This window comes from Homo sapiens, chromosome 19 (assembly GCF_000001405.40).
Source record: "Homo sapiens chromosome 19, GRCh38.p14 Primary Assembly".
In the NCBI taxonomy this organism is placed as follows: domain Eukaryota; kingdom Metazoa; phylum Chordata; class Mammalia; order Primates; family Hominidae; genus Homo; species Homo sapiens.
The window spans coordinates 43,582,895-43,604,378 of NC_000019.10; the positions used below are offsets into that span (position 1 = coordinate 43,582,895).

Below are 21,484 nucleotides of genomic sequence, written 5' to 3' on the forward strand. Positions count from 1 at the left end.
AGAGTCAAATGAAAGACAACTTAAAAAGCGCTTAGTGCAATGCCTAGCACCACATGTGGATTCTAAAGACAATGTATGCCTGAGTAAACAGTAATCATCATAATAGCTGCCACTTACTGAGTGGCCATTAGTTGACAGGTGCTAAACACTGACATCAATTGGGACAGACTAGATGTTACAGTAACAAAACAAGTCCCTGATCTCAGTGGTTTAAAACAACAAAGTTGTATTAACTAACACTGTAATAATGCTATGTAACAAATCATCCTAAAACTGAGACTTCTTTTTTTTTTTTTTTTTTTTGAGACAGAGTCTTACTCTGTCTCCCAGGCTGGAGTGCAGTGAAACCATCACAGTTCACTGCAGCCTCAACCTCATGGGCTGAATCGATCCTCCCCGCTCAGCCTCCCTGGTAGCTGGGACTACAGGCATGCGCCACCATGCCCAGCTATTTCCTGTAATTTTTTTGTAGAGACAGGGTTTCCCCATGTTACCCAGGCTGGTCTCAAACTCCTGGGTTCAAGTGATCCACCCACCTCGGCCTCCCAACATGAAAACTGAGACTTATACCAACAAGCATTCTTCTAAGGGTTTGTGGGATGGCTGCTTTGGCTCCAGTTCGGGAGGATTCAGGTCTCTTCCATGAGATTCCACAATTTTCTGGGATCAGCAGCTCCCTCGCAAATGTTCTCATGGCACATCACGGGAGCACAAAAGCCAAGTGCACTTAAGGGCCTTGCTAAGGTTAGGTCTGCTAAAATTCCATTAAGTAAATCATATGGTGAAACCCATCAGTGGAGCAGGGAAATATACTCCCCCTCCAGTAGAAGGGAGAGGAGTGGATATTTGCTGAATGACTGCCCATTCACAAAAGGTAAACTTTTCCTTCACCCTAGCACTATCCAGAGGGTGTTTTCCTCGTCATAGTCATAAATCAGCCACCGGCAGGGCACGATGGCTCACGCCTGTCATTCCAGCACTTTGGGAAGCCGAGGCAGGAGGACCACTTGAGCCCAGGAATTTGAGACCAGTCTGGGCAACATGGCAAAACCCTGTCTCTACAAAAATACAAAAAAAAAAAAAAAAAAAAAAATTAGCCAGGCGTGGTGGTGCACGCCTGTAGTCCCAGCCACCTGGGAGGCTGAGGCGGGAGGATTGCTTGAGTCCGGGAGGCGGAGGCCACAGTGAGCCGAGATCTTGCCACTGCACTCCAGCCTGGGTGACAGAGTGAGACCCTGTCTTAAATAAATAAATAAATAAAGCATCCACCAACTTGAATGTGGCCAATTTCTGTGTCACAGGAAGTCTACCATGGGTAATCACATGCTGTGACATAATACAAGTCACTGGATGGAGCTAGTCACATGGCCCACCCAGCCACATGGGCACCAGGAAGTGAGATCCTGCCCCAAGGTCAGAAGGCAGAGAACTGGACATGTTTCATTAATAGCACAAATGACCACCATGACCCCTTAAGAAGCTGTTTTTCATTTTATTTTCACAACTCTATGTCATAGGCACTATTATTCACATCTCTGTTTTCAGGAGACATCAGAGGCTCAGAAGGCTGTCACATTGGCAGTCACACAGCTAAAAAGTGGCAGAATTTAAGATTTTAATCATTGGGTCATGTTGTTGGGGAGAAAGAGACCACATCACACACAGAGAGAACAAGTCTGTATTAGTTGCTTTTGCTACATAACAAACCACTCCAAAATTTAGTGGTTTAGAACAATCACCTATTTAGTTAATGATTCTCTGGGTTGCAACTTGGTCTGGGATCAGCTGGGCAGTTCTTTTGCTGGTCTCAGCTGGGTTCAGCTGCCTATCAGCTAGGGAGCTCTGTTTCAGAGGTTGGTTGGCTATGGGTGGCAGGGATCAAGGATGACGGAGCCATGTGTCTCTTTTCCCTTTATTACCCAGCAGGTTAGCCCAGATCTTTTCCTTTTCTTTCCTTCTTTTTATTTTTTTAGACATTGTCTTGCTCTGTCACCCAGGCTGGAGTGCAGTGGAGCCATCATAGCTCACTTCAGCCTCGACTTCCTGGGCTCAAACAATCCACTTGCCTCAGCCTCCCCCATGTAGTTGGGACCACAGGTGCACACCACCACATCTGGCTAATTCTGTTGTTGTTGCTTTTTTGTAGAGATGGGGGTCTTGCCATGTTGCTCAGGCTAGTCTCGATCTCCTGGGCTCATGAAATTCTTCCACCTTTGCCTCCCTAAGTGCTGGGATTATGGGTTTATACCCATATGCCACCATGCTCAGCCAGCCCGGGGTTTGGATGTGGCAGTGGTGGTAGGGGTCCCAAGGGGAGCAAGAGAGGAAGTCCCAGTGCATAAGCACTTTGGTTTTTTTTTTTTGAGAGAAGTCTCGCTCTGTTGCCCAGGCTGGAGTGCAGCGGCGCAGTCTCAGCTCACTACAACCTCCGCCTCCCAGGTTCAAGCTATTCTCCTGCCTCAGCCTCCCGAGTAGCTGGGACTACAGGTGTGCACCACCACACCCAGCTAATTTTTTGTATTTTTAGTAGAGAGACGGGGTTTCACTGTGTTAGCCAGGATGGTCTCGATCTCCTGACCTTGTGATCTGCCCGCCCTGGCCTCCCAAAGTGCTGGGATTATAGGTGTGAGCCACCACACCCGGCCGCATAAGCACTTTCCAAGCCTCTGCTTGTATCATGTTTGCTATTGTTCTAGTGGCTGAAGCAAACCACATAGTCAAACCTAGAAGGAGAGCAACAATCCAAGGGCATGGCTACAGAAAGGCTGGCCCAGTTGGGGTCATTAATGGGTATACCTGGCTCCAGAACTAAGGCGCTTTACCATCATAAGCTCCCAATGTTTAAACAGTAAGTCTGCCCGCACTCCTTCCAGGGTGGAAAAACTCAGATACTGATAAATTCTCTTGATCACAGCCCAGTTTTTCCCAGCGGATTCCCCACCATCCCTCCTATCCCCAGACGCTGGAGTCTAGGTTTCCAGCCCAGTCAAAATCTCAAGGATCTTTCTTTTCCCTCAAACTCCAAAAGAACAGACACGCAATAGGATTTCTATTCATTTTTATTCATTCCTCCAAAGAGCACCACAGGCCAACCACACCCTTGATGTGTCCTTCATGGTTCCCCACTGCAGTGGACACAAATCCCTCCATCATTATCCAGGCATGGATGGAACTCTGCTGTGGTGAGGAGGTTGTCTCGCCCACTCACCCAAGTTTTCCATGCCTGTTCTGCTTTTGATGGCAATGCCAAAATTCATCATACATTTCCTTGAATTCCTGCCTTCAAGGGTCTTCCAGCCCTGTGGTGCCATGCAGACACACTTCAGTGGCGGCCAGTGATCTGTCTACAAGGGAGTCTTAGTCTTTTCTGCTTGGATGCTCCCAGGGACAGATGCCTGCCAACAACCTTATGTCTTCACAAAGACTAAAATGGAATCCCATTAAAAGTTATGATTTAAAAGGCGACCACCCCCAAAAGAAGTCATAACACTCAAGGGTGTCAATATATACAACTGTGTAAACACAACCAATCTACAACTATATCAACACAACCAGCACTCCTCTATGGGCACAGACACACACACAAAATTGTCTTGCTTTCTCAGATATGATCTCTGGCATGACTCCTGCTGGCATGAGGGCAGAGGAAATTGAGAGGAGCAAAGCATATAGCAGTGATGTCAGACAGGACCAAATCAGAGACAGGGTCAAAGTGGCAGAAAAATGAGGAGCACACTCCGAGCAAAGGCATGGGGGTGAGACAAAGGCACCCAGACTAGAGCCATCTTGGTGCTGCCCAGGGGTGGGTGGCACTCATGTTTGAGCTCCATGTGTCAGGCTTTTCAGGAAAGGGTGTACTATGTTATGTGTCTGTGTGCATATTGTGTGCCTGCATGTACATACATACGCTGAATTCTCACCATAACCATGTGAGGTAGATGCCATTTGTAGAGTGACTTGCCCAAGTCAGTGGAAGGACTATCTGCCCCTAGAGCTAGACTGATAGAATTTTCTATGTTGATGGAAGTATTCTGTACCTTCCCTGTCCAATACCATAGCCACTAATCACATGTGGCTACTCAGTATTAATGTTGCACTACTGCCAATGAAACATAGAATTTTAAGTTGTATTTACTTTTAATTGAACAGCTGAGGCCAGGTGTGGTGGCCCATGCCTGTAATACCAGCACTTTGGGAGGCCGAGGTGGGCGGATCACCTGAGGTCAGCAGTTCAAGACCAGCATGCCCAACATGGTGAAACCCCGTCTCTGAGAAAAATACCAAAATTAGCCAGGCATGGTGGCATACACCTGTAGTCCCAGCTACTCAGGAGGATGATGCAAGAGAATCAGTTGAACCTGGGAGGCAGAGGTTGCAGTGAGCTGAGGTCATGCCACTGCACTCCAGCCTGGGTGACAAAGTGAGACTCTGTCTCAAAACAAAACAAAACAACCCAGCAACTTGGTCAACATAACCAGACCTGCATCTTTACTTAAAAAAAAAATGGACACCCATCTCAGTTTTTGGAAAACTATTATATAATTGGAACAACTTGGATATGTGAATCTACTTCTCCAACTATGAATTTTATGAAATCAAAATAAAGGTCAAGCATTTCAGATAAAAATGTACCATGGTAATTGAGATTTGGTGTAAGTGTAAAATATATAACAGATTTTGAAGACAGCACAAAAGAACGTAACATAATTCATTTAAATAATACCGATGACGCCAGGCACGGTGCCTCACGCCTGTAATCCTAGCACTTTGGGAGGCCGAGGTGGGTGGATCACCTGAGGTCAGGAGTTTGAGACTAGCCTGGCCAACATGGCGAAACCCCATCTCTAACCAAAAATACAAAAATTAGTGGGCATGGTGGCGGGTGCCTGTAATCCCAGCTACTCGGGAGGCTGAGGCAGGAGAATCACTTGAACCTGGAAGGTGGAGGTTGCAGTGAGCCGAGATTGTGCCACTGCACTCCAGCCTGGGCAACAAAGCGAAGCACTATCTCAAAAAAAAAAAAAACTAAAAAACCGATGACATGTTGAAATGCTATTTTGGATACATTGGGTTAAGTAAAACATGTTAAAATGAATTTAACCTGTTTCCTTTTACTTGTCTAATGTGGCTATTAGAAAACTTGGCTTACTCAGCACTTTGGGAGGCTGAGGTGGGCAGATAACTTGAGGCCATGAGTTCCAGACCAGCTTAGCCAACATGGTGAAACCCCATCTCTACTAAAAATACAAAAATTAGGACGGGTGCAGTGGCTCACGCCTATAATCCCAGCACTTTGGGAGGCTGAGGCCGGTGGATCACCTGAGGTCAGGAGTTCAAGACCAGCCTGGCCAACACAGTGAAACCCCATCTCTACTAAAAATACAAAAATTAGCTGGGCATGATGGTGCATGCCTGTAATCCCAGCTACTTGGGAGGCTGAGGTTGCAGTGAGCCAAGATCGCACAACTGCACTCCAGCCTGGGTGACAGAGCAAGACTCCGTCTCCCAAAAAATAAATAAATAAATAAAATAAAAATACAAAAATTAGCTGGGCGCGGTGGCTCATGCCTGTAATCCCAGCACTTTGGGAGGCCAAGGCGGGTGGCCTGAGGTCAGTAGTTCCAGACCAGCCTGATCAACATGGTGAAACCCCATCTCTACTAAAAATACAAAAATTAGCCAGGCATGGTGGCATATGCCTGTAATCCCAGCTACTCAGGAGGCTGAGGCAGGAGAATCACATGAACCTGGGAGGCGGAGGTTGCAGTGAGGCGAGATCGTGCCACTGCACTCCAGCCTGGGTGATGGAGTGAAACTCCATCTCAAAAAAAGAAAACTTAAAATGACATATGTGGCTTGCATTTCGTTTCTACTGGACAGTGCTGCCCTGCAGCCCTCCCATTCCATCACGTGGCTGACATGCCTGATTGCAGGGCTTAGACACTAATATGATGGGGTAAAGATATGGATGAATATTCTTCCCCAAAGCTGAAAGAGCTTTCATGAAAATGCCTGGAGCCATTCAGTATAGAACTAAGTGCTCTTCCCCATGGTAGCTATCTCAACTTTGAAGGGACAAATTTTGTCAGCAGTGGGAGTCCAAGCTGGAGATGATGGTACCATCCCTTGTCTGCCCTTGGATCAGTTACCTTTGTCTTCAGCTTTTAAGGGAGACAGGATCTCAAAACTAAGGTTCTTATCCAGCTCTTTTATTTCACAGATGGGAAAATAAGGCACTGTCCAAGTAACACACAGTGACAGTGGCAAAGTCGTGCTTGCTTCCCAGGTCCCTGACCTCAGACAAGGGTGTTCTCTCCCATTAAATGCTTTTTTCTCCTCATCTTGCTCCATTTTCCTATCTTGTGGCAAGAGATTAACAATCTAAATTCCAATCCTAGTTCTGACACTGACCAATGAAATAAACATTTAGGCTGGGTGTGGTGGCTCACACCTGTAATCCCATCAAGGCAGGAGGATCACTTGAGGCCAGGAGTTCAACACTAGTGTGGGCTACAAAGCAAGACCCCCGTCTCTACAGAAAATTTGGTGCTGTGTACCTATAGTCCCAGCTACTCTGTAGGCGGAGGTGGGAGGATCGTTTGAGCCCAGGAGTTGGAGATGGCAGTGAGCCATGATCATCCCACTGTATTCCAGCCGGGGCAACAGAGCAAGACCCTGTCTCTAAAATAATAATAATAATAATAAATATTTACGAAGCACCTATTGTGTCAGGCACCTATTGTTCTAGATGCTGGGGAAACAACAGAGAACAGGACAGGCAACGGGTCAAAAGCCAATAAACAGGTAAATAAATAAGATCATTTTTGACAGTAATAATTGCTACAAGGAAACTCAACTGGCCGAAATGAATAGTGGGGGAATGTGAGCTACTTCAGATAGGGTGGTCAGGGAGGGGAAGTCCTCTCTGAGGGGATACGTGAGCTGAGATCTGACTGAGCCCGTCACAGGAAGGTTTGAGAGTAGAACAGGAAGTTGTGAGTAGAGCCTTGAAGGAAAGAGAACAGCAGGTGCATGGGTCCCCAGGCAGGACTCAAGGTAGCCACTCAGGCATCAGAAAGAGTCAGGCGGCCATGATGGCTCACACCTGTAATCCCAGCACTTTGGGAGTCTGAGTCGGGTGGATCACCTGAGGTCAGGAGTTCGAGACCAGCCTGACCAACAGGGTGAAATCCCTTCTCTACTAAACTACAAAAATTAGCCAGGTGTGGTGGCACATGCCTGTCATCTCAGCTACAGTCATCACATCCCTGTACTCCAGACTGGGTGACAAGGTGAGACTCCATTTCAAAAAAAAAAAGAAGGAAAGTCTATCAGGCTGGACAGGAGTGGGAAGGGGCAGTGAATGAGAATAGGCAAGGGCCAGACCCACAGGGCCTTACTGTGTGCTGTTGGGCCTCAAGCCTGCCCTCTCTGGACTTTGCTCTTTCTGTCTACGACAAAAGGGATTCTATCGCTTGGATTCTCAGATCCTCCTTTTCTGTTTTTGACACTGAAGAATTCTGTAACCTGCAACTTTTCCCCCACATGTGGCTAGCAGCCTAGAACATTCCAGGCACTGTGGTTTCTGCCTTTGCTTCATTCACTCCTGGCATATTCCCATGGTCTCAAGTGCCTGACCACCCATTTGGTGGGCCCCTGGCTCAATGCAGCACCCTCTATGTACATCAGAAAGCAGAGCCTCTTGGGGATACCCGAGGTGTCCATACAGAAGTGTTTGGACCAGTGCAGCAGTACAGCTGCTCTTCTGAAAAGGAAGGTGCACAAAACACCAAGGCCATAAAGGGTTATGGTTAAATACCAGGAGAAAAAGGCCAAAAAAAGATAGAAACTCCTAAAGAAAAGAGACAGAGAAACAGACTCCCCAGAGATCACCTGAATTGCTCAGCACCTAGAAGATGAAGGCAGTCATATCCCTTCCCAGTCACACTCACAGAGGCAGTTGCCGGGATCCCAATACAAGGTTTGGAGGAGCTGTCTCTGAGGTATGCTTTACTGCCCTTCCACACCCAAAAGACCTCATTCCTGGTCCCTGGCTACTCCCAGAGCCCACCATGCCCAGACCTCTTACCCACCTCACCTCATTTTTGTGGGACCACCCTCCCTACATGCTTTTGGAGGGCAATTATAGAAACCCATCCACTCCCCAGGAGAGATCAAGAAGTCTCCAGCTTTCTCGCACAAGCCCCCGATCCCTCCTCCAGATGCAGACCTCCCCTTACCCAATATTTAGGAACCAAGGTCCACAGCCATCTTAGAACCCCGGAAGTCTCAGACCCCAGGGGCCTCCGCCACCCCATCAAGATTCAAAGCCCACTGCTCCTTGGGGACCTGTGTGCAGGCTTTTTCTCCCAGAGAAATGTAGACCCTGTTTCCCTCTGAGGCTCTGAAGCCCAAGAGTTCCAGCTCCCTGGGGCGCTCAGGTCTCCCTCCCCTATACTGGAGTTCAGGTCCCAGTCATGGACACCTCCCCACCAATTAGGAAACAGGACTTCTACCAGCCTCCCTGGAGGACTAAACATCCAGTAACTCCAGTTTCTACTCCCTAGGAGACAAAGACATAGTCCCTGCTAGAGTCTGGGCCACCAACTCCCTTCAGGACAGAAGGGTCTAGATGTCATTCACCATGGTTCCCAAAGGTATCAGGATTCCTGGCCAGGGGCGGTGGCTCACGCCTGTAATCCTAGCACTTTGGGAGGCCGGAGCGGGTCGATCGCCTGAGGTCAGGAGTTCGAGGCCAGCCTGGCCAACATGGTGAAACCCCGTCTCTACTAAAAATACAAAAATTAGCCAGGTGTGGTGGCAGGCACCTGTAATCCCAGCTACTCCGGACGCTGAGGCAGGAGAATCGCTTGAACCCGGGAGGCGGAGGTTGCAGTGAGCCGAGGTCGCGCCATTGCACTCCAGCCTGGGCAACAAGAGACTTCGTCTCACAAAAAAAAGAAAAAAAAAAAAAAAAATCAGGATTCCTGTCCCCCAGACTCTCTGAATCCAGGTGATAAGAAGTCACACATCCCAGCTGGAAGTCAAGAGTCCACATCCCCTTCAAGCACCCAGGATTAAGCCCAGGCATCCCCTGTCAGAGTCTGGACTCCCAAGCCCCCTCCCACTCCTCACTGGGCAGGCTCAGGGGGTGCCAGCACAGCCTCAGCATCAGCCCGCATCTCATCGAGAGCCTGCAGCAGGACGCCGTGAGCCGCTCGGTAGCCCAGGCCACCTGTCGCCGCTGCACCACCCGCAGGCCACAGGAAGGAGAGAGCCCCCAGTGCTGCGCCCCCAGCAGTGCCCTCGCCCGCCCAGGCGCCCAGTCTTGCTTCCACCTCGGCGCGCGTCACCGGGCCTGGGAAATGAGCGCGCGCTGCCAGCTCTCCAGAAGCCAGGCCCAGGGCACGCTCACGTCGAGCCAGTGCCGTGGGTTCCAGCCCCAGGCCCCGTCGCCACTCCGCCAGCTGACCCCGCAGAAGTGCCACGTCGCATGCCCAGCCCAGCCCTGGGAGTGGTGCCGCCGCCGCCGCCAGACTAGCCAGCAGAGCTGGCCTCCACGCCCCGGCTCGCAACGCCGCAGCCTTGGTTCGGGCAGCGCTGGGAGATGCTGGTGGCAACGCCAGCAGCAGTGCCCCTGCCTGGGCTGGGGGGAGCGCTCGCCGCAGCCATTCGCATAGCCCTGGGAGTCCGCCAGGCCGTAGGGGGAACACTGGCGGCGGCGCCTCCTCCAGCACCTCCCACGTCTCGTCCTCCGGGCTTAACGCAGCGGCCCGCTCTGAGTCGCCACCACCTGATTTCTTCATGCCGACAACCTGCTGCAAACCCTCGCTGCCAGCTTTCCCAGGACCTTCCCCGCTGCCTGCTTTCTGCGATCCAGCGCTACATTTCTCCCTTCCCTTACTGAGTGCATTCTCCAATCCCCCTCCACCTGCGTTCTTTAAGCTCTCGCCCTTGGGATTCTCCATCTTGCCTTCTCCCAGACACTCCGGATCCTCGCCCTCGCCGTCTGTGCGCACGCAGACAAGAGGCGCATCTGGTAGCAGCAAGGCCTGGACCTGGGCCCAGTCCTTCTCAGTGGGGGCCCCAGGGGTGACGAGGATGAGGGCGTCGTAGTGCGTTGGGTGAGAGGCGGCGGCCGCGGTGGTGGCAGTGCCCGTGTGGCCCAGAGGCACGGTCCAGAGCACCACATTCGGGCGCTCTGGGGCTGGGAAGGGAGTGGGTGCTGTGGGGACCGAAGCAGGCGCAGCGCCTGGGTCGCCAGGATCCAATCCAAGCAGCATGTCCACCACAAGGCCCACGTCAGCCTTGCCAGCCACGGCCAGGTCTAGCCGTGCGCTGCCCAGGCGCTCCAGGCCTGAGCGCACCCACGACAGCGCAGCCTCAAGGCCGCCGGTCTCAAAGGCCTCACGCACAGCCTCTAGCTCTGCTGCACCCAACACCTCGAAGCCATCCTGCGCCGGTGGCAGGAGCCTGTGGGGACAAGAAGGGACAGGGTCAAAGGTAGAAGAGGGGCTGGGTGACATGGACTGGGCTATGATGACAAGGGCAGAGCTTTCCTAATGATCCCAGAATGGGGCAGGGGTAGGAAAGGGAAGGGCCAGACTGATGGCACAGCAAATAGAAACCAGATAGGGAGAGGCAGTGATGATATGGGTGGGGCTTCAAGCAATAATGGAGTCTTGATTATTGGACGGGTGGACATAAGGTCAGGTTTCCCACCCCAGCCTAAAATGGGGATTGGGCTAAAACTTCCATGGAATACAGTATTTGGGGGCGGGGTTTTTCCAAGGGTCGGCTGTGCTGGGTGGGACAAAGCTCACAGAGGGTGGGGCCTAGAACAAAGAATCGCAACTGTATTGTGGCCTAAACACAAGTCCAGCACTATTTGAGACAAGGTCCCCAAGGGCACTCTTTTCAGGGGCTGGGCCTAAGGAGGGTCAGTGAGGGGAGAAATCTCATCTACCAGTTCTTACCAAGGGGGAGTGGCTAAGGTGACTCCCGGGCAGGTGAGGCTAAGGAAAAAAGATGACAGTGTACTGGGACAAGGGACTGTCCCTCTCTGAGCCTCGTTTTAAAGTCTTTAAAATGAGGAGGCTGGCAGGTGGTAGAGCAAATCCAGGAGGTAGCCAGCAAGTGGGCACAGAAACAAGAGGGAGCTGGAGAAAGGAGGTAGATGAGGATGCCCCAAAATAATAAAGCTCATTGCGGGTGTGGCTTTAGGTGCTTGAAAACAAAACTGATGGTGGGGAGGGCTCAAAGATTAGAGTTTTCAGGTAAAATCTTCCAGGGGGCTGGGCAGAGAGTCTCACGACTGTAATCCCAGCACTTTGGGAGGCCAAGGAGGGTGGATCACCTTGGTGGGGGCAGGGCCTGGAAAAAGGAGCCTCAGGGCCCCAGCAGATAAAGTGTTAAGCCTTTCCCTTTTAATTCTAGGGCTTTGGGAAGCCTGGGTGGGGGCATGGCTTGAGGCCAAGAGTTCAAGACCAGCCTGGGGAAACAGTGAGATGCTGTTTTGCAGCCTGTAGTATTAGCTACTCTGGAGGCTGAGGCAGGAGGATCATTTGAGCCCAGGAGGTGGAGGCCGTCAGTGAGCTAGGATCGCGGCACTGCACTCCAGCCTGGGCGACAGAGTGAGAACCTGTCTCAAAAAAAAAGGCCGGGTGTGGTGGTTCACGCCTGTAATCCTAGCACTTTGGGAGGCTGAGGCGGGAGTATTGCTTAAGGCCAGGAGTTCAAATTCAACCTAGCCAACATAGCGAGACCCTGTCTCTCAGGAAAAAAAAAAAAATAATAATAATAGAGCTAAGCCTTGCCCCAAACTCACTGGGGGAGGGATCTCATGGACCTCCATGGTCGCACCTAGGTGCCTAGGGTCTCGACTAACGGACCCAGCCAGAAAGCCGGCACTCACCTCCGCAGCGCTTCTGCCTGGCTCTGCAGCGCCGCCCGGAGGCGCTCTAGCTCCTCGCAGCCGTCGCTGCTGCCGCAGTTCGCCGGTAGCACAAACAGATCCGCAGCTCCTAACCCCGCGCTGTTCAGCAGAGCTGCTGTCTGATCACGGGCCTGGGCGGCAGTCTGTGAATCCCCAGGACGGAGGTTCCGCACAGCCAGTAGCGGGGTCCCTCGGGCCAGGGCGGCCAGCGCTGCCTCTCCCAGGGCTGGAGCCAACGGTTCCCCGTTCCCCTCGGGTCCGGGCAGCACCAGTACCAGCACGTTGGCTTCCGCCGCCCAGGGCCCCGGCGCTGCGGGTGGGCAGCTCAGCTCGCCCAGAAAAAGGCCTGGGCCCGCAGCTCTTAGGCTGGGAACCCCGGAGTCCGGCCGTCCCTCGGGGGCCTCGAGCGTCTCCACATCCTTGTCGCACAGCGCTGCGATCAGCGCGGACTTCCCCAAGCCCGGAGGCCCCAGGAACAAGGCGGTCACGTCACCCTGCGGCGGAGGCATGGCTGGAAAGCAACGGGTAGAGAAGACCTGGGTCAGGGAGCACCTAGCCTTTTCCTTTCCTAGCCGCCCCACTCGGAACCCAGGCCTCAGTCCTTCACCCTGTCCCCTTCGGTTCTTGAGTGTCACTCTCCAGGACCTAAAAAATCCAGAGCCCAGACCCTATTCCCCCAGAATCCCAGGCGTCCTGTCTGTCCGCCCTCCCTCTAGATGGAAACGTTTCCCTTTCTGCTTCAAAAACTCTGAAATCAGGCGCGGTGGCTCATGCCTGTAATCCCAGTGCTTTGGGAGGCCGAGGCCGGAGGATCGCTTGAGGCCAGGAATTCGAGACCAGCCTGGCCAACATGTGGGGGGACTCTCTGGTAGAGTCTCCGTCTCGATAAAAAATAAAATTTAGCCGGGCATGGTGGTGTGCGCCTGTAGCCCCAGCTACTCGGAAGGCTGCGGCGGGAGGATCGCTTGAGCCCAGGACTTGGAGGCTGCAGTGGGCCGTGATCACACCACCGCACTCCAGCCCAGGCGACAGAGCAAGACCCTCTCTGAAAAATAAATAAAAATAAAACCTCAGAAATCTGGCTTCCAGTCCCTCCTCCCTCGGACACATTGTTATTTTCATCTTTCCCCTTCCCCCTTCCAAATCACCAACCGAGCAAAAAGCCGACCCACGGGAGAGAGCGCAGTCGGTGGCAGTAGGTCAGCAGCTGAGAAGCCCGGCCCCTGGGCCGCGGCGGACGGAGGCCGAAGAGGCCAGGGAGCGGTGATTTAGAGATGCCGGGACCCGTCCCGGTAGCTTTAACCTGACGTCACTCCCTCTCCCAAGGGGGTGTGTCTTGGAAGGCCGACAGCAGAGACCCAGCCCTTCGCCGCGCCTGCGCAGAACGGCCGAAGTGTGCACGCCCCTCTTTGGCGGCCTCAGGGCCTAGAACAATGAATGAGTCAACGCGCCTGCGCGCCACGAGAGCCTACCCACGCATGCGCAAAAGGCTTAGCTAGCTAAGCCGCGGGAGGCTGAACGTCATCAAACGCGCCATAGGGCAGAGAAGGACCCCTCCCGTTATTTTGAGGACCGGGCTGGTGCGACTATACTACTGCCGGATGGCAAATCCGGGATCTCGGCTCCGAGAGGCTCATCTGGCAAAAGGGCGCGGAAACCACGGGGGCCCTGAGACTGAGTGGTCCCTATCCCACTTCTCTCTGGGGCGGCGCTGTAGCCAGCGGCTGACAGGCGCAGCGAAAGGCAGCCCTCTGCTGTAAGGAGGAAAACTGAGGCCTGGGAGCAGGAACCTGTAGGCAGCGCTTGAGGGTAGCGGGATAGCAGCTGCAAGCGCGCGTGGGAGGCGGGGGCTCTGGGCGGAACAAAAATCACAGGATGTCAGAGGATGTTTCCCGGGAAGAACTGGGATAAAGGGTGGGTATCACTACCTGCCCCAAGACACTTGAGATTGGGATGACGCTGGTGTCAAAGATCAAGGCTTCCACGCTGAGTTCAGGGAGTTAGTTTGATGCAGCAGGTCATAGGTCACACCAGTGAGAAGACTCTAGGGGAGTCCCAAACCCAGGAAATCCAGTCCTTTGGGAGGTTTGAAGCTTCTTTTAGCAAGAACTCCATCAATTAGAGTTCAAGGAGATAGTATGTCGTAGGGGTCAAAGGCAGGCAAGGAGAGCCTCTGGCGATGTCAAAGGTCATAGACTTAGGGTGCCCTCTAAGACTGGTAACAGATGAACAGCTTCACTTATGCACGCTCCTCTCCTGACTAGAAGGGTCCCAGCACCATGGAGGACCCGAACCCTGAAGAGAACATGAAGCAGCAGGATTCACCCAAGGAGAGAAGTCCCCAGAGCCCAGGAGGCAACATCTGTGAGTACACATGGCTGGCGGGCTAGAGGAGGGTGGGGTGCAGGAGCTGATGCTAAGATCTCTGTGGCACTTCGGTGTCCAAGGCGCCACAGAGTTTTGCCTGTTGAGAAGGGGCTGTAATGGTCCCTGAGCTGCTCTAGCAGGAAGTGCATCTCCTCACACCAGCTTATGTGGCCAGAGTACTCACCCTCCTCTGGCCACATAAGCAGGATTGCAATGCTTATGCATTCAGAGGGATAGGGTGGCTTCCAGGAGAGGCTTGGGTTGGAGATGTGGCTGGGAATGGTTCTATTGGGAGAGAAACCCCAAGATTCTGGTCCCAACTCTGCCCTAGACTTTCAGTGTAACTTGGGCCTTGGTTTCCTTGACTGTCAAAAGAGGGTGGTACTTCCCACCTCACAGGGTGGGTATGGGATTAACTGCAGCAAAGGGGAAAGCTAGGGGTTAATGATGGTAGCCAGTTTGACATGTAATAGCAACACCTCCTGCTCAGTGTTTTATTATGAGCTAGGTGTATTTATTCTCATATTATGAACCATTTTAACATTCATTATCTCATTGAGTCCTTCTAATAATAGGCCCTTTAAACTGGGAACTGAGGCAGAGAGAGGTATTTGTAACAAGAGCTGTAGTCTCAATGCCCTTGAGCCAGAGACTACCAGGAACACACCTGCAGTTGAACACGTTGGGTTTCTCACTGCAATGAACACAGACCATGGGGGGACTGTGGGGTGTCTCACTAAGAATGGTAAAAACGACACAGGATTTGGGCTTGTGGGTGGTGATTTTGGGGAAGGTTCAAGCAAAATTGTTTTGCTCTGGATTGGATGCTACCAGGAAGCAGGGGCAATTCTATGATTGGCTATCGTAATAAATCTTACCCAGAAGGAGGAAGGAAGGAGGCGAGGCTCAAGCTCTGACTGATAAAGCAGCAGCAGACATTCACATTAGCCAGGATAGGAGGATGTTTGGTCATTTTTCTGCTTGGACAGTATTCATATTTTGTCTGTGCTCAGACATTATGATGATGTAGTCTTGTCTTGATTCATTTTAGTCACAGCGTGGCCTTGTCTGTCCTTGATATTCTGTGAAAATTTATGTTCAACAGAACACCAAGGTCTAGCTGTGAGTACCAGGCCAGATCCTGGATGTCGGGCTGGATTTCTCTGTATCATTAGTCATAATTGCAAATGACTGTACAGCAATTCATTTATTCCTTCCAACGGTCCTATGGAGTAGATACTGTTATTAGCCCATTTTCCAGATAAGGAAACTGGTGTAATTGCCTAGGAAGTGGTGGAGGTGAGATTCAATCCCAAGCAGTCTGGCTCCAAAGGCTGTGCTGTAATCACCATACCCCTCTGTTGGGCAGGCTGACTCTCTGGGTTCCAACCCTGGCTCCACCATTTCCTTTCCTAGCCTCATGACTATGGGCAACTTGCCTAACCTCTTTGAATCTCAGTTTGCTCATCCATAAAATAGGTGCAAGAACAGTTCTCCTGTTTGGTTGTCCAGCATTAGCATAGAACCTAGCACATAACACATTCAATGTTAATTGTTGGTGTGATTCTGGGGTTCAGGAAGAGGTCTTGGAGACTCCTGCTGGCCTCCCCTGACCTCTCCCCCACATTCCTCAGGCCACCTGGGGGCCCCGAAGTGCACCCGCTGCCTCATCACCTTCGCAGATTCCAAGTTCCAGGAGCGTCACATGAAGCGGGAGCACCCAGCGGACTTCGTGGCCCAGAAGCTGCAGGGGGTCCTCTTCATCTGCTTCACCTGCGCCCGCTCCTTCCCCTCCTCCAAAGCCCTAATCACCCACCAGCGCAGCCACGGTCCAGCCGCCAAGCCCACCCTGCCGGTTGCAACCACTACTGCCCAGCCCACCTTCCCTTGTCCTGACTGTGGCAAGACCTTTGGGCAGGCTGTTTCTCTGAGGCGGCACCGCCAGATGCATGAGGTCCGTGCCCCTCCTGGCACCTTCGCCTGCACAGAGTGCGGTCAGGACTTTGCTCAGGAAGCAGGGCTGCATCAACACTACATTCGGCATGCCCGGGGGGAGCTCTGAGTGCAGCTTAAGCCTCTCCACGGTGACGGGTGGCTCTGTGGCTGGTAGGACTCACCCATGATATGGGGTGCAGGAACTCTGGGGGCCCTGAAGGATTTGCTTCCCTCCCCTGGGAAGGCAGAGGGCTCTTAATAAAGAGGACCCAGAAGATTCTTATTTAGAGCTTCAGTCTTTGGAGCACACAGGGCCTTCGTGAGACAGTGAAATCAGATAATAATGAGATCTTTTGTTAAAAAAAAAAAATGGGAAGGGAGTGCGGGAGAGAAATGGTTTGTGTCTCCCTTATTCCCAGTTAAATACCTAGCTGCAGATTGTGCCATCACCCTTCATTCTTCCCAGATGGATGCCATGGGCTATGGGAGCAAATTGCCCTGGACCTTTGCCTGAATGGGGGCAGGAAAGGTGAGGTGTTGCTGGCCTGTAATGCCACCAGGTGAGTTCCAGATGTGGAGCAACTTGGGCTTTTGGGGATGGGGCAGCAAAGTTGGGAGCTGGACCCCAATTGAGTGGGGGTAGCAATTGGAGTCCTTGTGTCTCTTTTCCACCCCCTGCCATCCTCACTTAGAGGGGCCATGGCACTAGATGGCACTAGTCCCCCGATAATTTATGTCTCGTTGAAATAATTTTGTATATCATTCTAGTCCTGAAATATTTTTTTCATATGTGTAGGTGAAATGGTATGAATAAGCTAACAGGAATAGTATCTAAAAACAGAAAACATCCATATTAAAATGTCTAAACAGGGAGCTCTGGCTTTTGAGTGGGAATTTCCAGAGAACATAAGGGTGTGGGCAGGTGGGGGAACTCAGGCCAGAGTTGGCCTCGCTTTGTGGGGAAACTGGTTTGGAATCAAACAGAGATACCTTCTGTTTCGGGTTTTATTTGGCCAACACTGGGAGATTTCCCATTAAGATCCTATTTTCAGCTCTCTTGAAAGGCCCAACCTAGGCTGACATTGTCAGCAGGGGCAGGACAGAAGTTACAACAGGCTGGAGGGAGCAGTGGGTGTCACCCTCAACTGGAGATGAGTCCCACCAGGCCAGTTTTACCCCCTTAGTTACCTGCCCTGCACCTGCAGACAATGGTCGATGCCTTGCATATAATACTTATAGACTCTGTTTATGTTGAGGGATGTTTTTAAAGCCCACAGGTGAGGTGGATGTGGTAGACTGATCACTGTCTCTGTTTTTAGCTAGGCACACAGTAGCTGAAAAGACTGCATTTCCCAGATTCCTTTGCAGCTAGATGTGGCCTTGTGACTGATTTCTGGCTAAATTCCTGGGTAGAACAGTCAAGCTTAAGAAAGGGACGGCTGGGCACAGTGGCTCACGCCTGTAATCCCAGCACTTTGTGAGGCTGAGGCCGGTGGATCACCTGAGGTCAGGAGTTTGAGACCAGCCTGGCCAACATGGTGAAACCCTGTCTCTACCAAAAATACAAAAATTAGCCGGGTGTGGTGGCATATGCCTGTAATCCCAGCTACTTGGGAGGCTGAGGCAGGAGAATTGCTTGAACCTGGGAGACAGGTTGCAGTGAGCCAAGATCGTGCCATTGCACTTCAGCCTGGGTGACAGAGTGAGACTGTTTAAAAAAAAAGAAAAGAAAGGGACATACCTTTTTTCCACCTTCCTAACTGTAATACGGAAATGGTATCCAGCCATCTCAGACCATAAGGATAAGAGCAACACGTGGGAAGACAGAGCAACAAGATAGGAGCCTGGGTCTCTCGTCAATTTCAAGGAGCACAGCCACCATACCAGCCCACTTCCATATTGCTATCTAAGAAAGAAACTTCTATCTTATTTAAGCCACCATTATTTTGGGTCTCTGTCACATGCAACAGAATTTACAGCCTAAGACAGGGGTCTGCAAACTATGGCCAACTCTAGCCTGCTGCCTGGTTTTGCAAATAAAATTTTATTTGAACAGTTTTATACTCATTCACTTATGTATCGTTGATGGCTGCTTTTGCCTAGAACAGCAGATCTGCATAGTTGCAACAGAGATTTTAAGGCCTACAGAACTTAAAATAGTTACCATCTAGCCCTTTACAGGAGAAGTTTGCCAACCCCTGGTCTAATAAGACATTCAACCTACTCTGAGTCTGGAAGCAGAAATTTCCATCCTGGGAACCACCATCTTTACCAGGTAGGTAGGTAGGTAGGGTATGTGTGTGTGTGTGTGTTTTGGGGCAGGGCTACCCTGGATCTCTTTGCTGGGGTGACTTATGGGGAGACTGGTTGGAGTTAGTAGACCATCAGTTTTTTTCAAGATACCAACTTCATGAAGAGCCAGATATTTCCTCTGGCTCCTGGTGAATGCTCCGAAGTTTCCAACCCAGATATTGTCACACTACCCCCACAGTGGCTCCCCTAAACCAAACCTAAGTATCTAATCCCACATGCTCTCCCAAGATAGCAGCCTGCCCAAGTACACCCTGGGCTTCCTGTTCTCTCCAGACATCACAGATTCTCTAAATAGCATCACTGATGACATCCACATCTTTATCTGCAGCCCAAACCCCAGACATAAGATATAACCACTTGAATAAACAAATGGAGATCTCAAACTTAAAATGGGTCAACAGGACTCCTGCGGCCCAACCTGCACCACCATTGCCATCATGTTAGTAAACTGTGCACTCTTAAATTCTTTTTTCTTTTTTGAGTCTCACTTTGTCTCCCAGGCTGGAGTGCAGTGGTGTGATCTCAGCTCACTGAAGCCTCCGCCTCCTGGATTCAGGCAATTTTCCAGCCCCAGCCTCCCGAGTAGCTGGGATTACAGGTGTGCACCACTATAACTGGCTAATTTTTTGTATTTTTAGTAGAGACGGGGTTTCATTATGTTGCTCAGGCTGATCTCAAAACTCCTGGCCTTCAGTGATCTGCCCGCCTGGGCCTCCCAAAGTGCTGGGATTATAGGTGTGAGCCACTGCACCTGGCCTTCATTTTTTTTTTTTTTTTTTTTTTCCCCTTCAGACAGGGTCTCGCTGTGTAGCCCAGGATAGAGTGCAGTGGTAAGATCTTGGCTCACTGCAGCCTTGATCTCCTCAGGCTCAGATGATCCTCCCACCTCCACCTCCCTCCCTGTAGCTGGGACTACAGGTGTGCACTACTATGAACAGCTAATTTTTTGTAGAGATGGAGTTTCACCATGTTGTTCAGGCTGGTCTTGAACTCCTCGGCTCAAACAATCCGCCCACCTCGATCTCCCAAAGTGCTAGGATTACAGGCGTGAGCCACCGTGCCTGGCTGACTTTCAGCCTTCTAACACCTGTGTAACTATTCCCTGTATTAAATCCTCTTTGGGGAATGCCTGGCCTGACTCCATATCCTGAATGGGTGCTGGCTGAATGACCCAACTCCTGATTGATAGTGCCTCTTGTGATCCTTAGGAATATTTGCCAATGGATGGAAATTCTCTATATTTGTCCTTAGAAGTCCTGTCTTATGGCAGAAGACAGGATGGGGTGCTGCTCCAGGAAACAAAACCTATGATCACACTTATCCATGTGCTATAGTTGAATGTATGTGTCCCCCTAATATTCATATGTTGGGAACCTAAGACCCCATGTGATAGTATTCAGACATGGGGCCTTTAGGAGATGGTTAAGTCACAGGGGCTCTGCCCTCATGAACAAGATAAGTGCCCTTAGAAAAGGACCCAAGGGAAGTAGCTAGGCCTTCTCCCCTTCCATCTCTCCTACCATCTGAGGACACAGCATTCATCCCTTTCTGCCACCTTCCACTGTGTAAGGATGCAGCAAGAAGGCACCAACTTGGAAGCAGAGAGCAACCCTTAATTAGACACCAAATCTGCTGGTTCCCTGACCTGGGACTTAACCACTCTCCAGAACTATGAGGAATTAACCTTTGCTCTTTATGAATTACCCAGTCTCAGGTATTTTGTTACAGCCGCACAAACGGACTAAGACTCTGTTGTTTTAATGAGCCTGGAATTTCTGCTGATGATTCTGAGGTTCCATGATGCTAAGCTATAGTGGCTAGGAAAGTCTCAGTTCAGAGTGTATCAATGTCAGGTTTGGAGATTCTGGGATGAGAAACGTGGGTTTTGAAAAATGCTTTGGTCTGAAATCCTGTAATAGGTGTCAAAAATGTAAATGCTGGCCAGGCACGGTGGCTCACGCCTGTAATCCCAGCACTCTGGGAGGCCAAGGCGGGCGGATCATTTGAGGTCAGGAGTTCGAGACCAGCCTGGCCAACATGGTGAAACTGCATCTCTACTAAAAATACAAAAATTAGCCGGGGGTGGTAGTACCGCGCCTGTGGTCCCAGCTACTCAGAAGGCTGAGGCATGAGAATCGCTTGAACCCAGAATGCAGAGGCTGCAGTGAGCTGAGATCATGTCCACTACACTCCAGCCTGGGCGACAGAGCGAGACTCCGTCTCAAAAAAAAAAAAAAAAAAAAAAAAAGCAGATGCTCTTCAGGGCCAAGCAGGCAGGGTAGGGGTGTCCAGATGTGAGGCATTGGTGACTGGGCACATAAGAGTGAATGCCTCCCCTACAGAAAGTGACTCCTTCTCAGCACCAACAAACCACTATCCCCATGGGAACTGGGGGTTCAGCAATATAGATCTCACAATTTTCGAGACAGTCCAGAAACTTCAATTTTTTTAAATGTGAAATTACCCATTTTTCAACATTGGTAACCAACGTAACTTAAAAAAATTCAATAGCTCTGTGGAGACCAGATACACTCCTCTAAGTCAGATGGTGGCTGTGGGCACTAGACTGCCATTTCTGGTGTGTGGCTTAGTGGTTAAGAGTGGATGCACCTGCATCCAGTTGTCTGGGTACAAACCAGGGCTCTGCTGCTTACTGGCTTTGTGACCTCTGGCAGGTAACTCAACCTCCCTGTGCCTCTGTTGTAGCAGATTTTTTTTTTTTTTTGGAGACGGAGTCTTGCTCTATTGCCCAGGCTGGAGTGCAGTGGTGCAATCTGGGCTCACTGCAACCTCCGCCTCCCAGGTACGAGCGATTCTCCTGCCTCAGCCTCCCAAGTAGCTGGGACAACAGGCACGCACCACCACACTCAGCTAAGTTTTTGTATTTTTAGTAGAGATGGGGTTTCACCATGTTGGCCAGGCTGGTCTCAAACT

The 21,484-nt window shown here is 51.1% G+C and overlaps 2 protein-coding genes across 4 annotated transcripts, besides 4 other annotated features; one reads left to right on the forward strand and one right to left on the reverse strand.

The window, feature by feature from the left end:
- Positions 1,473–13,240, reverse strand: IRGQ (immunity related GTPase Q). 2 transcript variants are annotated; one of them, NM_001388309.1, is made up of 3 exons: positions 13,108–13,240; positions 11,915–12,446; positions 1,473–10,473 (listed from the first exon to the last, which is right to left on the reverse strand). In NM_001388309.1, the coding sequence occupies exons 2-3, from the start codon at positions 12,442–12,444 to the stop codon at positions 9,132–9,134; spliced, it is 1,872 nt and encodes a 623-aa protein (NP_001375238.1). In that variant the 5' UTR covers positions 12,445–12,446; positions 13,108–13,240; the 3' UTR covers positions 1,473–9,131. The 2 variants fall into 2 exon arrangements, with proteins under 2 accessions (NP_001375238.1, NP_001007562.1); NM_001007561.3 differs by having other exon boundaries at positions 13,088–13,240.
- Positions 6,840–6,929: an enhancer, noted in NCBI's record as "active region_14728". NCBI's record gives its function as "activates an Ori minimal core promoter by ATAC-STARR-seq in GM12878 lymphoblastoid cells {active_cell/tissue: GM12878}" and the evidence as "EXISTENCE:reporter gene assay evidence [ECO:0000049][PMID:35858748]".
- Positions 11,864–12,660: an enhancer, noted in NCBI's record as "H3K27ac-H3K4me1 hESC enhancer chr19:44098910-44099706 (GRCh37/hg19 assembly coordinates)". NCBI's record gives its function as "activates a minimal SCP1, AML or CMV promoter by ChIP-STARR-seq in naive H9 embryonic stem cells {active_cell/tissue: H9 hESC(naive)}" and the evidence as "EXISTENCE:reporter gene assay evidence [ECO:0000049][PMID:30033119]".
- Positions 12,846–12,915: an enhancer, noted in NCBI's record as "active region_14729". NCBI's record gives its function as "activates an Ori minimal core promoter by ATAC-STARR-seq in GM12878 lymphoblastoid cells {active_cell/tissue: GM12878}" and the evidence as "EXISTENCE:reporter gene assay evidence [ECO:0000049][PMID:35858748]".
- Positions 13,316–13,735: an enhancer, noted in NCBI's record as "active region_14730". NCBI's record gives its function as "activates an Ori minimal core promoter by ATAC-STARR-seq in GM12878 lymphoblastoid cells {active_cell/tissue: GM12878}" and the evidence as "EXISTENCE:reporter gene assay evidence [ECO:0000049][PMID:35858748]".
- ZNF576 (zinc finger protein 576) lies at positions 13,498–18,263 on the forward strand. Of its 2 annotated transcripts, none has more exons than NM_024327.2 (3): positions 13,498–13,691; positions 14,200–14,299; positions 15,937–17,541. In NM_024327.2, the coding sequence occupies exons 2-3, from the start codon at positions 14,215–14,217 to the stop codon at positions 16,362–16,364; spliced, it is 513 nt and encodes a 170-aa protein (NP_077303.1). In that variant the 5' UTR covers positions 13,498–13,691; positions 14,200–14,214; the 3' UTR covers positions 16,365–17,541. The 2 variants fall into 2 exon arrangements, with proteins under 2 accessions (NP_077303.1, NP_001138819.1); NM_001145347.2 differs by lacking the exon at positions 13,498–13,691 and adding an exon at positions 13,701–13,849 and having other exon boundaries at positions 15,937–18,263.